Below are 15709 nucleotides of genomic sequence, written 5' to 3' on the forward strand. Positions count from 1 at the left end.
ATGCTCTGGTGCTGACAGGCCTGTCTCACTGAATAAAGGATGCCTCTAGAGTGATAATTTTTTTGGCCCCAGAAACTGTAGTCCTCTATTTTGAGGGGGAAGGGAGAGAGGAGAAAGACCATGTCCCTTCTCTGCTATCTTTTGGAGGGTCTGGAGCCAGAGCCTGCCTCATCTATTTGGAAAGGAAAAAGATTAGTTGACTAGGTGAGTACCTCATATATTTCTTACGGGATCACAGGCTCCTGAAGACCAATTGATGACTAAAAATAAATTGATTATTGGTTTTTCTGTCATTCATTAAATGGACATTAAAGGCCATCTGTGTTCCCGGCACCATGATAGGCTCTGGGGATACAAGATGACCAAAACGGGGTTCCTGCCACAAGGAGTTCATATAACCAGGGAGACCAACCTTGAGCCTATAACAGCAATTATGCTTGAGCTACCATGTCTGCTTGAGCTACCATAACAAAATACCACACACTGGGTGGCTTAAACAACAGAAATTTATTTTCTTCCAGTTCTACTTTCCAGTTCTTCTGGCTAGAAGTCCCAGATCAAAGTCCAGCAGGGTTCAGTTTCGGGTGATGGCTGTCTTCTTGGCTTGCAGATGGGCTGTTTTGTCCTCACATGGCTGTTCTTCTGTGTGTGCACACTCAGAGTACGTGTGCAAGCATGAGTGCGCTAATTCTATCAGATCAGGGCTCCACCTTTATGACCAAATTCACCTTAATTATCTCCTATTTCCAAATACAGTCACACTGGGGGTGTGGGCTTCAACATATGAATTGGGGGACGCAATTCAGTTCATAGCAGAAGCTTATAGAAAACTGTAGGTGCTGGCTGGGCACGGTGGCTCACGCCTATAATCCCAGCACTTTGGGAGGCTGAGGCGTTTGGATCACCTCAGGTCAGGAGTTTGAGACCAGCCTGGCCAACATGGTGAAACCCCGTCTCTGCTAAAATACAAAAATTGGCCGGGCATCATGGTAGTCGTCTGTAATCCCAGCTACTCGGGAAGCTGAGGCAGGAGAATCACTTGAACCTGGGAGGCCGAGGTTGCAGTGAGCCGAGATTGCGCTATTGCACTGTAGCCTGGGGGGACAAGAGCGAGACTTTGTCTCCAAAAAAAAAGAAAAAAGAAAAACGGTAGGTGCACAGATGAGGGAATGGTCATCTTGTCTAGGGCAAGGCAGGGACAGCAGAAGGCTTAGCAGAGATAACACTTGGTCTGAACTTTGAGTATGCGCATGGTCATTTGCCAAGTGATGGGAGTGCCCAGCCCTGACTTGGAGGCTCTGGTGGTCTAGCAGTGCTGGTCAGTCAATAAGTTATTGTCCTACATAAAAAGGGACGGTCTCTACCTCCCAAGCCTTCTGTCAGTCACATCTTTATTCGGTGATATGTGCTTATTCCTCCTATGTGATTTTTACATCTGTAAGCAGCTTTTCTTGGAAGGGTATGTCACAGGTTTCCTGAATAATATTCAGATGTCACTCAGCTTTCACTGTAACAGCCTCTATGCCTCCTGCAGAGGTGGTTATTTCAAAAGATTCAGTGACAGAGTTAGAAGAAGAGAGTTTTTGTGCTTTAAATGGCTCAAGAAATAAACATACTTGTTTCTTTGTGACAGTGGGGTGTATTTATAATGAGTCATGGGCTTGCTAAAGCAGAGCGTGTCCACCCTGTCATTTCCCTTCTTTCGCAAATAGTCCTGGTGGGCACCAGGTTCCGTGAGCAGTCAGTGCTGAGTGTCCTCATAGGTAGTACTGTGTTAAGGGCCCTACCTGTGGGAGTAGATCTTCTCAGAAGGAGGAAGTGTTCTGGAAGCTGTAAGAAAATGAACCACTCCTTGCTTTATTCTTCCTTCCCACTCAGTTTACACTTATCTTCTGGCAACTGGACTTTTGGTCCCTGATCGTGGCTTTTCAGTGGCCAGATGATGAGTTTCTTTAAAGTACGGATTGAGTCACATTCCTCTCTGTTGCAGCCTTACTTGTCCCCCAGTGGTGATCACAGTAACCCAGTAGTGATTGCTTTTGGATAACTAGTATGATGGTTGTATATTTTTTTTTAAGCTTGTGTTATTCTGCTGGCAATTTGTTTCCCCAGTGGGATTCAGCCTCTTTGCAATGCACCCACCAGAGTCTCCAGCTATTCTCCTGCCCTTGGTGTAAGGCAAATGATGACCAAAGCAGGATTGCAGTCCATTCCATTGCCCCATTACCCTTGGGGAAATAGGGCAATGCTTTAGGACGGCAGGTGGTAAGAGGGTTTGTACTGACAGAGTAATTTCCCCATCTCTGGGACCAAAAATTCTGTCTTTAGAGACAGAGAGGAAAATGTGGGGATATTGGCTCAAGTCAAAATGAAAGCCCTCTCCTTTCTATGATCTCTCCAGGTGGGAATTAGATTTCTGTTGCTTCAACAAGTGGGCTGGAGCACACGCTTACAAGTTTAGGGCAGTCGACAGCACTCAGAACAGCTTCTGAAGGGGCTCAGTTCCCTGTTTACTCCCTTCCCCCTCCCCGGCAGAGACTGTTCAGAGGAGTATTTGTGAGACAAACGTCGGGAACAGCTGCTCAGCCAGACCCTTGTCTCCTGTGCTGCCGCAGTCACTGTGCTGGAACTCTCTGCCGAGGAGGGTGGAGTGTCTGGGCTCCGCTGCTCCCACAAAGCAAGCATTTTCCTGTTTTCTTGGAGGCAGTTTATTACAGATTTCAACCCTTTCTGCATCCCTCCCTCCCTTACAACACGCACACTCATCTTTTCTTGCATTACTGCTGAAATTATGCAAACTTCGTTTCTCTGTCATCTGAGCGTCATTCAGAAATGTTCCTCCGATCTGTGAATTGTTCCCTGACTTCAATCGGGGCAGTGTTACAGGTCCTCTGCTGGCAGGAGGGAGCAGTCCGTGAAAATCTGCAGACACAAGACTTTCAGAAGCTGTGACGAGCAGACTAGCAAGCCACAAAACATTGCAAGCTGAATGGATGTCTTAATAAGCTTTTAGATGTGATTTGGCCAGCATCAGCAGAGGAGGCTAACGGGAAAAGGCAGCGAACATTGTAACGTAAATCACTGCAGATTTGCTGGGAGTGACAGCCCTAGGAAGCTAATGATCTCTCCAGGAAAGAATTGACCACAGTTATCCAGAAACTGAACACGATGTAGAACAGAGAGGACAGCCCCTCGGATGTGAGTACCATCTCTTCAACACAAGGTTTGGAGCAGTAGGAGCAAAGCTAGTTTATAGCTGATGGCGCTCCATAGCCACCAGTTCCTGGGTGCCTGTGGGCCATCTCTGGGTGGGTTGTACATAATGCCTGGCCGGGACTTTTATTTGCAGGTCTCTTCTGGAATATTTTGCTTGTCGGGAGACAGAACGTAGTGGCTTTAGGATATTGGCAAATTCTCCAAAGTATAGGAGAATTTGTTGTAAAGCCCCAAGAGAACAGCAAAAGCAAACCTTATAGACCTTTTTCTGTAAAAAGAAAACTGATTGCATCACAGACAAGCAGCTGTGTGACCCTCTGGTATTTGTGATGAGAGACAAAAGAATTAGCAAATTACAGAGCAACAAAAATGGGGCAGTGGGCTGGGAGGATGGAGGGAAATCTTAGCAAGCTAAATCCCTATCTAGATTCAGAATGTGCATTGCATACTTATGCTCATGTGTTTATTTCCTTTTTGCTTAAAGAATGGGCAGCGTGTTTGCGTTTAAGGTTTTCCTCCAGAATGCTGTGAAAAATGAACATTGTGACAAAGAGGGGTGTAATTGATAGGCTTGGGGCAGAATACATTTCTCACTGCCAGCAATGGGAAGTATCTTGAATGATAGCTGATCTACTTGGAAGAGGAGGCTCAGATATAAGGAGGGGATGAACTGCTACAGCCAAGGTAGCCAACAGGTTGGCAGTGAAGTTTAACTCTTTGATTCAAGACTGGTTTCACCCCTCTATTCCCTTTCCCTCCCAATTTACTGTCAGGGGTTCCCCCATCCCTTCTTAAACTGCCCCCCACCCCTGCAACACACACATCTCTATCTGGTCCAATTTGTCAGGTCAGGGCATCAGATGAGAAGAAGCAGAGTGTCTTCTCACTCTAAGGAATGGGTATCATTGTTCTAGATGGGAGGTAAGGATTTGGGACTTAGGAACAGTGACCATGAGGGAGGGAGAGAGGTGGTGTCTCTGCTTGGCCTGCACCTGGTATCTCTGCTGGGCCTGCACCCACACCCAAGGCTGAAGGTGCAGGAAGAAGCAGAAAGGAAGCAGAAAAGAAGACCCTCATTTGATACCTTCCCACCCACAAACTGTGTGTAAATGCACCTGCAGGTGAAGGCTGGAGATCCTAGTAAGGAGGCGATTACTGGGCTTAAATTGAAAATGAGTTTGAGATGTCCAAGCACATAGGGATGGTGTTGGCAACAGACTAGGAATTGGAAAGCTGGGGTTCTGTTCCTGATCTTGCAGGCAGTTTTCTGTATGACTCTGGTAGGGAGAGTATCCAAAGTCCTGTGTGAGGGACCTGTTCTGGAGGCTGCTCTGTGGGTGCTTTGGTCATGGTGGAGGGGATGGAATGAGAGAGGAACATTCTTAAGTAGCTGTAACTGAAAAGCAAAAAAATAGAAGGGTGTTTCTGCTTGGCCAATGTTTTCTCACCACTGTAGTATTTTTCTATCTTTAACCAAACAAAAAGGAAAATTAATGTGGGCTGTGCTTGCAAAGGGCTGTTTACCAGTGGTAATTATCTAAACAAGGCTATCTCAGTAGCCTGCAGCTATGGCATAAGTGTACTTCAGTCTCAGTATCCAGGAGGCTGAATTCATTGCATGGGACTGGAGGGTGGGAGGGGAGTGGCTATCAATTTACTATGGGCCAGCTGGACCCCTGCATCCATTGCTGAGGAGGCTGCACAGCACTGCTGGTGTGGAGCTTGTGACCTCAACTGATGGGCTGTACTGAGGTTGCAGCAAAAAAAACCTCTACCCTCAGGGGCTAAGCCATGGAGCAGAATGAGTAGAATTTTAGCCATGAAAATGTTTGTATGAACTGGGCTGTTGTACTTGAGACATTTAAATACCCATTGCAAGAAAGGTTCTAGAATGGAAGGGGGCCGTTGGGTCTAGTGTCTAGAGTTAACAAATGGGTAGATGACGGGGGGGAGGGTGTGGCTGTGGAAGGGAGATCATTTCATAAGTCATGGCTAATACTCTATTTTCCTGCCATTTAGGCCTGGAGTGATTTTGCAATATTTGGGCAAACAGAGCAGAAGCTCAGTATAATTGGTTTGAACAAAGCACAGATTACCTGAATGAAAAGAGGCAGCGCACCTATGTTTTTAAAAACAAACCACTTCAAATAGTGTAACGGTCTGGGAAAGATAAAGCCCAGACTGTGGCCGTTCAGCGTGACCATGAGAATTTTCAAAGGCATTTCCAGTTCCATTACTTTCAGTGTTTTGAGTCTCAACTTTATTCCTTCTTTTTTTTTTTGGCTTGTTCTATTTCTGGCATATCCCAGGGATCTCAGACCGTGACTCACCAAGCTGCTTTACAGCAGACCCTTCACCAGATCTGTTTTGTTTCTAATGACCCAGTGAGCAGGAGCAGGATGGGTTTGCGAGAGTTCCTCTCTCTTTTTCTGCTATTCTTTACCTGCATTTTGAGCAACAGATGGAGAATGATGAGAAAGTTTGATAATTCACAAGAGTGGGGGGTAAGAATTCTTTCCGAAGTTACAGTATTCACATCTGGGCCATACTTTCACATAATAAAATACCCTCTTTAATACCCACCACAGTCCTGGGAGATAAATGTTCTCATGTCTGTTTTATACGTGGGCATTTAACCCTAGCCTCACAGAGTGGTTGGCCAAACAACCTGCCTGAATGCCACGGTGAACGAGTTCAAACAGGATATGGTCCAGGGCTTTCCAGCCGTATCATGGCCAATTCCTTAATCTTTAGAGACTGAAAGGACATTTGGGTGTGCCTGGGAACAAATGTAAAGGATGGCTGCATCTTCCAGACCTTCAGAGTTAGGATGTGTGGTAGGGTTTGGGTTGAAGGATGGTATCTCTGTTGTAGCATTTTCTTTCCATTTGTATGTACTAGTATTTTTAATAAGTATCTTTTAAAATGCAAAGAAGCCCTCACTTCCTTGCTGTTCTAGCAGGACTGGATTAGACATTTAAGTATTTCTTCTTCTACCATTCACCCTTGAAATAATTACCAGTGGCTTTGGTTGGGTCTAATGGCAGCCCAGGTATACTGGGGGGAGTCCCAGTCTTTAAAATTCTCTTCATTTTGCTATGTGGTAGGAAGAATTCAGTTTGCTACTAGTTACTACCCTCCAGATCACTGCTCTGCGACAGGGCTTTAGTGTTCCATAGGTGGTTTTGGTGCCACTTCTTTTCCTCCTGTTAGCAAGGAAGCAACATGACCAGCCCCCTGCATTGGCAGAGCCACTGTTAGTGTTTAGCATCTGTGTTGTCCCCAAGGTGGATTGTTTCAGCCACTTGGAACAAGGAATTGGCCCAGGCCTGTGCCCAGCTCTCCATCTGTTCCAGAACTCGTGAACTACACTATTTACGGTGAAAAAAGGTTGAAGGGAGAGAACTGCAGTAAATGCTAGGAGAAAACCCCAAAGAGAGAACCCACTCAGCAGGGTCTCTGTGGGGTGTGTTCCACAGGCCACTGACCCACTGGGGAAGCGGCACGTTAGCCATGGTGGACGCACAAAATCCAACCAGGGGGCCTTTGATGATCACACACGGTACAGTTCCCTGCCAAAGGCGGTGTGTAAACCAGGTGGTGCTTAGGGGATTATACCAGGCCTCCGCTCCCTGGGAGAAAAACAGAGCAAACCTTGCAGTTCTGGCCATACTCCTCCGGAGGATGTCCCTGATAGGGGAAGAAGGGAGGGAAGTTGGCACATTCTGCTGCCTTCCACTTGGAAGTTCTGTTCAGGGGCTTTGCTGTGGAGTGTGCTTCCTGTGTGTCCTGCCTCCCACAGCTACCCTCCCCTGCAACATGCAAGCAGCAGAATGCCTTAAAATCACAGAGAAGAGGTGTGACCTGTCCTTGTGTGTCAAGTGGCCCTGATGGCACCTTTGTTTTGTAACCCCTAGGTCCCGAAGATGGCATATTCATAAAGACATCTTCTGATGATTGTGAACATCTTTACCTCTGGGTGCCAGGCCGGGCCAGTGACTTCGTGTTGAGCTGAAGGAACTTGTCTACCGCTTCCCTGAAAACCTTTCTTTCCTAATTCATGAGCCAGCAAGATGCGGTCGCTGCACTTTCAGAGCGCCTTCTCGTAGCTGCGTACAAAGGCCAAACAGAGAATGTGGTTCAGCTCATCAACAAGGGCGCCAGGGTAGCGGTTACCAAGGTAACAAGAGAAAAATACGCTGTAGCCATTCCCTGGGAACTGGCCTACCTCTTAACCATTGTCTGAAAAACTGCTGTGTTTGGTTCACAGCTTTCAAAGAACTGGCTTTTCTTCCAATGATGGAGGTTTGGGGAGAAGGAGGATTATTAAGAATGCTTTTGTTGCCATCTTTCAAGTGGAGCAACTTGTAATTAGCATTTGACAGTCTTTAAAATCACGGTGGCTTTTCTCACCTATTTCTTTAGCTAAATGGAGAGGAGATCTCTTGGGAGAAGTTGGGACACAAAAGCTTACTGGACAGAGTGTGCGATAATCACGTTAGATGGGCCTCCCGGGGAGGTGGACCAGCTTGTACACAGCCCCTCCACTGTGCAGAGTCTCATTGTCCCCGTCTGTATGATGACGGCCTGGACCAGATGACTGCTACAACCTCTATAGGCTTTGATTTCATGTGGGTCAGTGAAGATGGGTGGTAAGCTTTGGAGGGCATTGCTTACCCTGCGCCAACAGAGAAGACTATGAAAGATAAGAGACCATACTGGCCAAAGGCAGTTTTGTAGCAAAGCCAAGAAAAGGCAGGCTCCGCGCAGCTAGAGGGAGAGTTTAAATACACTGGCAAAGTAATGCTGATAGCAAGCACTTATTGAGCCCTAGTATTGCTGTAAGCACTTTACAGCCTTCTAGAAGAGATTCTCTTCTCATTCCTGTTTTGGAGAGGAGGAAACTTGTCCAGGGTCCCTCAGCCGCTGAGTGGTGGAAATGCAACTTGTACCCACAGAGTCTGGCTCCGAAGCCCAACCTCCAGTCCTCCCCAGAAAGAGCTGTGAAGAGGGGCAAAGTTTAATTTTCATAGAAGGTCACCTGTTAACTTCTGACCTCCTGTGGCAGATCGGTCAGCTCCTATTTTCATGTTTACTTATGTGCAGTTTTCACATTCCATGCCGGCCTCCAGAGAGGTCTTGAGCTACTTGTAGGTCCCCATGGAGGTGAACAGGGGTTTGCCCATAGATGGTGATTGGATTGTTTGGAACTGAAGGTGAAGGGGGCCTTAACTCAGAGCTTGTGTGATCTACCCATAGCACTTTCCAGGGCCCAGGCAATCACAAATGGGAGAGAGTGCAGACTCTGTAGTTAGGGCACCTGCTCACAGATTTTAACTCTGCTTTGTTTGCTAATTGTGCAAGTTGCTTAACTTCTTTGAGCCTCAGTTTCTTATCTGTAAAAGAGGGATAGTAATGTCAGCTTTTCAGAATTGTTATAAGAACAATAACTTATTTAATGCACTTAGGGCATAGTCTGCAAGTTTTTTCTATACATAGACTTAATTATTTGCTATTTTATAAACAGCTTTATTAAGATATAATTTACGTTCATTAAATTCACCTATTTTAATTGTACAATTCAATAATTTCTAGCGTATTTATACCACCACTGCTATGCACTGAATTGTTTCTCCCCCAAATTCGTTTTTTTCAACCCTAATCCCTAATGGTATTTAGAGATATAGGGCCTTTAGGAAGTAATTAGGTTTTTAAATGGGGTCATGAGAGTGGAGCCCTTGTGATGAAATTAGTTTCTATGTAAGAAGAGGCACCAGGGTCTGCTGTCTCTCCTTCTCCCTGCTATGTGAGGACACAGTGAGAAGGTGGTCATCAGCAAGCTAGGAAAAGGGCCCCCACTGGAACCTGACCACGCGGGTACCCTGAACTCACGCATCCCGGCCTCCAGAACTGAGGAACAAATCTCTTGTTCTGGCAACCTGAGAAGACTAATATAAGCACATTCAAATATTAGAACATTTCTATTGTCACAATAGAAAATTTTATATATATATAATTTTTTTTTTTTTTTTTAGACAGTGTGTCCGTCTGTTGCCCAGGCAGGAGAGCTCACTGCAACCTCCACCTCCCAGGTTCAAGTGATCCTTGTGCCTCAGCCTCCCATGTAGCTGGGACTACAGGCACATACCAACATGCCTGCCTAATTTTTGTATTTTGAGTAGAGATAGGGTTTCACCGTGTTGGGCCAGGCTGGTCTCAAACTCCTGACCTCAGGTGACCCACCCACCTTGGCCTCCCAAAGTGCTGGGATTACAGGCATGAGCCACCGCGCCTGGCTCCTAGTAAAAATCTTCGTACCCAGTAGCTGTCACTTCCCATTCCCACCCCCAGCTCCTGGCAACCATGAATCTACTTTTTGTCTCTATAAACTTACCTTTTCTAGGCATTTTATGTAAATAGAATCATATGGTATGTGGTCTTTTGTGTCTGACTTCTCTCACTTAGCATAAAGTTTTCAAGGTTCATCTCTGTTGTAGCATGTATCAGTACTTCATTCCTTTTCATGACTGAGTAATAATCCATTGTATACATATATTCTGTTTATTTCTTTATCAGTTGATGGACATTTGTGGTTGATTCCAGTTTGGGGCTATTATGAATAATGCTTTTGTGAAAATTTATATACAAGTTTTTGTGTTGGAAATATGTTTTCAGTTCTCTAGAGTATATTCCTAGGAGTGGAATTGCTGGGTCGTATGGCAAATCTGTTTAACACGTTAAGAAACTGCCAAGCTATTTTCCAGAATACCTGTACCATTTTACATTCTACCAGCAATGTATGAAGGTTTCAGCTTCTCTACAATCTCACCAGTGCTTGCCTGTCTTTTTTTATACATCATTTGCTTTTTCATAGTTATCTTTAGCAAAGATTCCCATTGGAATTTTAAAACTATTAGTTCAAATACTGCTAAAGGTTTTTAATAAAAACAGTGATCCCTTAGCCCAGTCCCATTTACACTCCAAAGAAACAACTTTCAGCCTTCTAGATGTTTCTTTTCTGGTATTTGTCTCCATATTTCCAATGAATATGTATGTTCTACCACCTGATTCAACAGTTTAGTTTTTTTAGTGAAGTCAAGTTTAATATTTTATTTATGTTATACTCGTGTGTGTGTATGTGTGTATATGTGTGTGTGTGTGTGTGTGTGTGTATAATTTATTTAAGATATGCTCCCCTCTGTCACCCAGGCTGGAATGCAGTGGCATGAACATAGCTCACTGTAGCCTCCACCTCCTAGGTTCAAGCAATCCTCCCACCTCAGCTCCCTGTGTAGCTGGGACTACAGGCATGCACACTGTTAATTGTTAAGACAGGGTCTCCCTACGTTGCCCAGGCTGGTCTCGAACTCCTGGTCTCAAGTGATCTTCCCTCCTCAGCCTCCCAAAGTATTGGAATTACAGGCATGAGCCACCATGCCTGGCCTTTCTTTTATATTTTTAAAATTTATTTATTGTGGTAAAATATACATAGTAAATGTACTACTTCAACCATTTTTAAATGTATAGTTTAGTGGCATTAAATACATTCACATTATTGTGCAACCATCACCACCATCCATCTTCAGAAATTTTTCGTCTTCCCCAGCTGAAGCTCTATACCCATTAAACACTAATTTCTCATTTCCTCCTCCCAGACCCTGGCACCCACCATTCTACTTCCTGTCTCTGAATTTGACTGTTAGCCGCACCTCAAATAAGTGGAATCATACCATATTGTCCTTTTGTGACTAGCTTATTGCACTTAGCGTGTTTTCAAGATTCACTCATGTAGCATGTACCAGAATTTCATTCTTTGTTAAGGTTGAATAATAATCCATTTTATGTATATGCCACATCTGGTTTATCCCTTCATCCACTGATGGACACTTGGGTTGCTACCGCCTTTTGCCTGTTGTGAATATTGCTGTATGAACATGGGTATACATGGGTGTTTGAGCCCTTGCTTTCATATCTTTTGGTTATATACTCAGAAGTGAAATATGGTAGTTCTATTTTTAAAGTTTTGGGTAACTTCCATACTGTTTTCCATGGCTGTTGCACCATTTTACAGTGCTACCAACAGTGCACAAGGGTTCCCACTTTTCCACATCCTTGACAATACTTGCCTTCTGTTTTTGTTTGTTTGTTTTTTTGAGTCGGAGTCTCGCTCTGTCGCCCAGGCTGGGGTGCAGTGGTGCTATCTTGGCTCACTGCAAGCTCCACCTCCCGGGTTCACGCCATTCTCCTGCCTCAGCCTCCTGAGTAGCTGGGACTACAGGTGCCCGCCATGATGCCTGGCTAATTTTTTTTTTATTTTTAGTAGAGATAAGGTTTCACCGTGTTAGCCAGGGGTGGTCTCGATCTCCTGACCTCGTGATCCGCTGGCCTTGGCCTCCCAAAGTGCTACTATTTTTACTGACCTTCCTAATGGGTGTGAGGTGATATCTTGCTGTGGTTTTGATTTGCATGTCTCTGATTATTAGTGATATTAAATGTCTTTTTATATGCTTGTTTGCCATTTGTGTATCATCTTTGGAGAAATGGCTATTCAAGTCCTTTGCCTATTGTTTAATCTGGTTATTTGATTTTTTTTGGTGTTGAGTTGTAAGAGTTCTTTATATATTCTAGATATTAATCCTTTATCATATATTTGATTTGCAACATTTTTTCTCATTCTGTGGTTGCCTTTAGGAGTACTTTTTTAGAGCCGTTTTAGATTCACAGCAAAATTGAGAGGAAGGTCCAGAGATTTCCCGTATTGCTCCCGCCCCTAAACATGTTTAACCTATCCCATTATCAACATCCGCCACCAGAGTGATACATTTGTTACAACTGGTGAGCCTATACTGACGCATCATTATCACCCAAAGTCCATAGTTTACATTACGGCTTATTCTTGTACATTCTATGGATTTGGAAAAATGTATAATGACATACATCCACCAGTATAGTATCATATAGATTATTTTTACTGCTCTAAAGATCCTCTGTGCTTCACCTATTTATCCCCTTCCCTCCTCCCACCCCAATCCCTGGCAACCACTGGATCTTCTTACTGTCTCCATAGTTTTACCTTTTTCAGAATGTCATGTTGTTGGAATCATACAATATGTAGCCTTTTTATATTGGCTTCTTTCACTTAGTTATATGCGTTTAAGGTTCTTCCATGTCTTTTCATGGCTTGATAGTTCATTTCCTTTTAGGACTGAAAAATCTTCCGTTGTATGGATATACTACAGTTTTGGAAGCATTCACCTACTGAAGGACATCTTGGTTGCTTCCCAATTTTGGTAATTATGAGTAAAGCTGCTATAAACATTTATGTGCAGTTTTTTGTGTGGACATACACTTTCAGCTTTTTTCACTAGATACCAAGGAGTGCAGTTGCTGGATCACATGGTAAGAATGTTTTGTTTTGTAAGAAACTGCCAAACTGCTGGATTCCCATCAGCAATGAATGAGATTTGCTGTTGCTCCACATTCTCACCAGCATTTGGTGTTTCAATCTTACGGATTTTGACCATTCTAGTAGCTTTACAGTGGTATCTCGTTGTTTGTAGCTTGTCTTTTTACTCTGCTGATTGTGTTCTTTGATGCACAAACATTTTCAAGCTTGATGTCCCATTTGTCTATTTTTGCTTTTATTACCTGTGCTAGCATTGTCATATCCAAGAAATCATTGCCAGATCCAATGTCATGAAGCTTTTCCCCTTGTAGAAGCTTTATAGATTTGGATCTTATATTTAGGTTTTTATTCCATTTCGAGTTAATTTTTTATATAGTGTAAGGTAAGGGTCCATCTTTACTTTTTTGCATGTGGGTATCTGGCTTTCCCAGGACCATTTGTTGAGGAGACTATCCTTTTCCCATTGAGCGGTCTTGGTATCTTTGCTGAAGATCATTTGACCATATACATGAAGGTTTATTTCTATGCTTTCTATTATATTTCACAGGTTTTATATATTTTTATTCTAATACCAACTGTTTTGATTACTGTAGCTTTTAATGTGTTTTGAAGTCAGAAAGTGTGAGCTCTTCACAGTTTGTTTGTTTGTTTGTTTTGACACAGAGTCTTGCTTTGTCTCCCAGGCTGGAGTGCAGTGGTGTGAACACGGCTCACTGCAGCCTTAACCTCCTGGGCTCAAGCAATCCTCCTGCCTCAGCCTCCTGAGTAGCTGGGACTACAGGCATGTGTGCCACCATGCCTAGCTGATAATAATGAGCAACTTCCTGGGCGATCCTACTGCCTCAGCCTCCCAAATACCACAATTTTAAAATCAGACTTATAATTATTGTGACTATGTAAATGCTGCTCACTGGTTAGCTGAGAATGATTACTTTTTTAAAAAATATATATCTTATTATTTTTCCTGGAGCTGATAGTTACCCTAATTTTTTCACTTGTTTAATTTGATTTAAATTTATTGGTAAATGTTTCATCTACTATCTGATAACTCTGTAAAACCGTTCTTAGTGCAATTCTCCATGAGTAAACCTATTACATATTTATCAGCCCGAGTCTTTTCCTGGGGATATCCCCTCTGGAGTCATTTATCCTTCTTTCTGATTGATCTGGGTTGCTCTCTAGTTCTGCACAGTCATCTTGAGAAGTCCTTTCACCTCTCCCCTGTATTAGATCCCTGTTTGCTGGAACCCATGTCACTCTAACTTTGATACTGCACATTCTTTGATTTCTTCCTAAGAAAGGGAATATGTACATAAATTTTTTGAGAGTCTGCATGTCTGAAACTCCTTATTCTACCCTCTTGCTTACGGGACAATTTGGTATAGAAACCTAGGCAGAGAATTATTTTGCCTAAGAACTTCAAACGCAGTGCCTCATCTTTGAACTTATAGTGTTGCTGTTGGGAAAGTCAGCTTATAGTGTTCCTTGCAACTGTCTTCTGAAAGGCCTTTTGCATCCACTCTGCCCCTTGAAGGACCTGCCCATTCAGGACTCAGCTCAGGAGCCACCACCAACATGAAGTCCACCCAGTGAATGGTACCCTGGATGGAATTTGCTCTCCTCCCAATTGATGTAACCTTGTTCTCTATGCATTCTGTGTCCTTCATACTGCTCTGTGGGTGCTCAGAACTCCCCACCACATCATCACTGTGACCTGGGTCATAGTGTCTCTCTTACATTTATCTGTGTTTGACAGAGGAGAAAGGCACTGAATTTGGAATCCAAAGACCTTGGTGTAGGCACCTGTTCTGCTGCTTATTAAAGGCTTATTAATGTAGGCCAGGGTTGTTCAGCCTTAGCAACATCACTGACATTTTGGGCCAGATCATCCTGTGCTATTGGGACTTTCCTGTGCATTGTAGGGTATTTAGCAGCATCTGTGGCTTCTTGCCATAGATGTGCTGGTAGTACTTCCTTTCCTTGGATTTTGACAACCAAAAATGTCTCTGGACACTGACAGACATCCCCTGAGGAACAAAATCATCCCCGCCTCAGAACCATGGATTAGGCCAATCATGACAGGAGTCTCTATTTCCTCACAAACCTTAGAGTTTCCATAAGCACTAAATGTGATAGCACATGTTGCCATAGTTATAAAATCTAAGTGGACATAAAATATTGATTATTTTTTAACTCATCCAGTGCCTAGCAAGGTACTCACATCCCATCTGTGCCGAATGAGGGGAATAATGTTATTGACTGTGAATTTCTTACACTTTGATAGCAATTGCAAGGTATTAGGTACTCTTGTAAGAGCTCTACAACAATTAAGTATTTTAAACCTCACCATGGCTATTATCCCCATTTTACAGATGAGGAAACTGAGGCAAGGAATGATCAGGTAACCTGCCCTAAGTTTCCCTTAGAAAGTGTCAAAACTGGGACTCAAACCCTGGCCATGTGGTTCGAGAGTCCTTGCTCCCACAGGAGGCAAGGAGGAAAGTTCCCCTTGGCCCTTGAAGGCTCACTGAAAAATCAGCTGACAAATGGCAGATAAATTGTAGAAGAGGCATAAAAATTTATTTAACATGTACATACAGGAGCCTTCAGAATGAGGACCCAAAAATGCAGGGGAAATTGTCCATTTTTATGCTTAGGTTCAAAAGAGTGTGGATAGCCATGTAGAAATATGATTGGACAGAAAGGGCACGATCTAATGCTGATTGCATGGGAAACCCAGCAAAGCCTGTCTGTCTACATTCTTCTTGGCCTTTCTGAGCTGAGCATTTCTGCCTTCTAGGTATGAGGCAGGACCCTCTCTGGAATGGAGTGTTAAGACCTACATTCAACTAGGTCAGATAATTTCTTTATGGCTTGCTTTTACGCAGAAAGGGGAGGAGGGGAAGGTTAGAGTAATATTTTTAAGTTTTATGGCTGGCTTTGAGGGTAGCAGATTCTGGTTTCTATGACCTGCCTTGGGGGAAGAGGGATTCTAGTTTCTATGGTTAGCCTCTGGGGAGGAATTGAGGGGCCAGAGATAGGAGGGCAGGAAGAGGTCAGAGAAAAACTTTTGCTTGTGAGGCCTTC

The 15709-nt window shown here is 43.8% G+C and overlaps 1 protein-coding gene across 38 annotated transcripts in view; it reads left to right on the forward strand.

Moving 5' to 3' along the window:
* The window catches only part of ANKRD6 (ankyrin repeat domain 6), a 200683-nt gene that overhangs the window by 126549 nt on the left and 58425 nt on the right, over positions 1-15709 (forward strand). For 22 of the 38 annotated variants that reach the window (NM_001242811.1, XM_024446357.2, XM_024446359.2 and 19 more), the window contains exons 1-2: positions 2618-3198; positions 7134-7396. The exons of 5 other annotated variants lie outside the window; for them this stretch is intronic. In NM_001242811.1, coding sequence (NP_001229740.1) covers positions 7277-7396 — 120 coding nt within the window. In that variant the 5' untranslated portion in view covers positions 2618-3198; positions 7134-7276. Of the gene's footprint in view, positions 1-2617; positions 3199-7133; positions 7397-15709 lie in introns of those variants that run through there. 11 more of the 38 variants (NM_001242809.2, NM_014942.4, NM_001242813.1 and 8 more) reach the window with 2 other exon arrangements.

This window comes from Homo sapiens, chromosome 6 (genome assembly GCF_000001405.40).
Source record: "Homo sapiens chromosome 6, GRCh38.p14 Primary Assembly".
Lineage (NCBI taxonomy): Eukaryota > Metazoa > Chordata > Mammalia > Primates > Hominidae > Homo > Homo sapiens.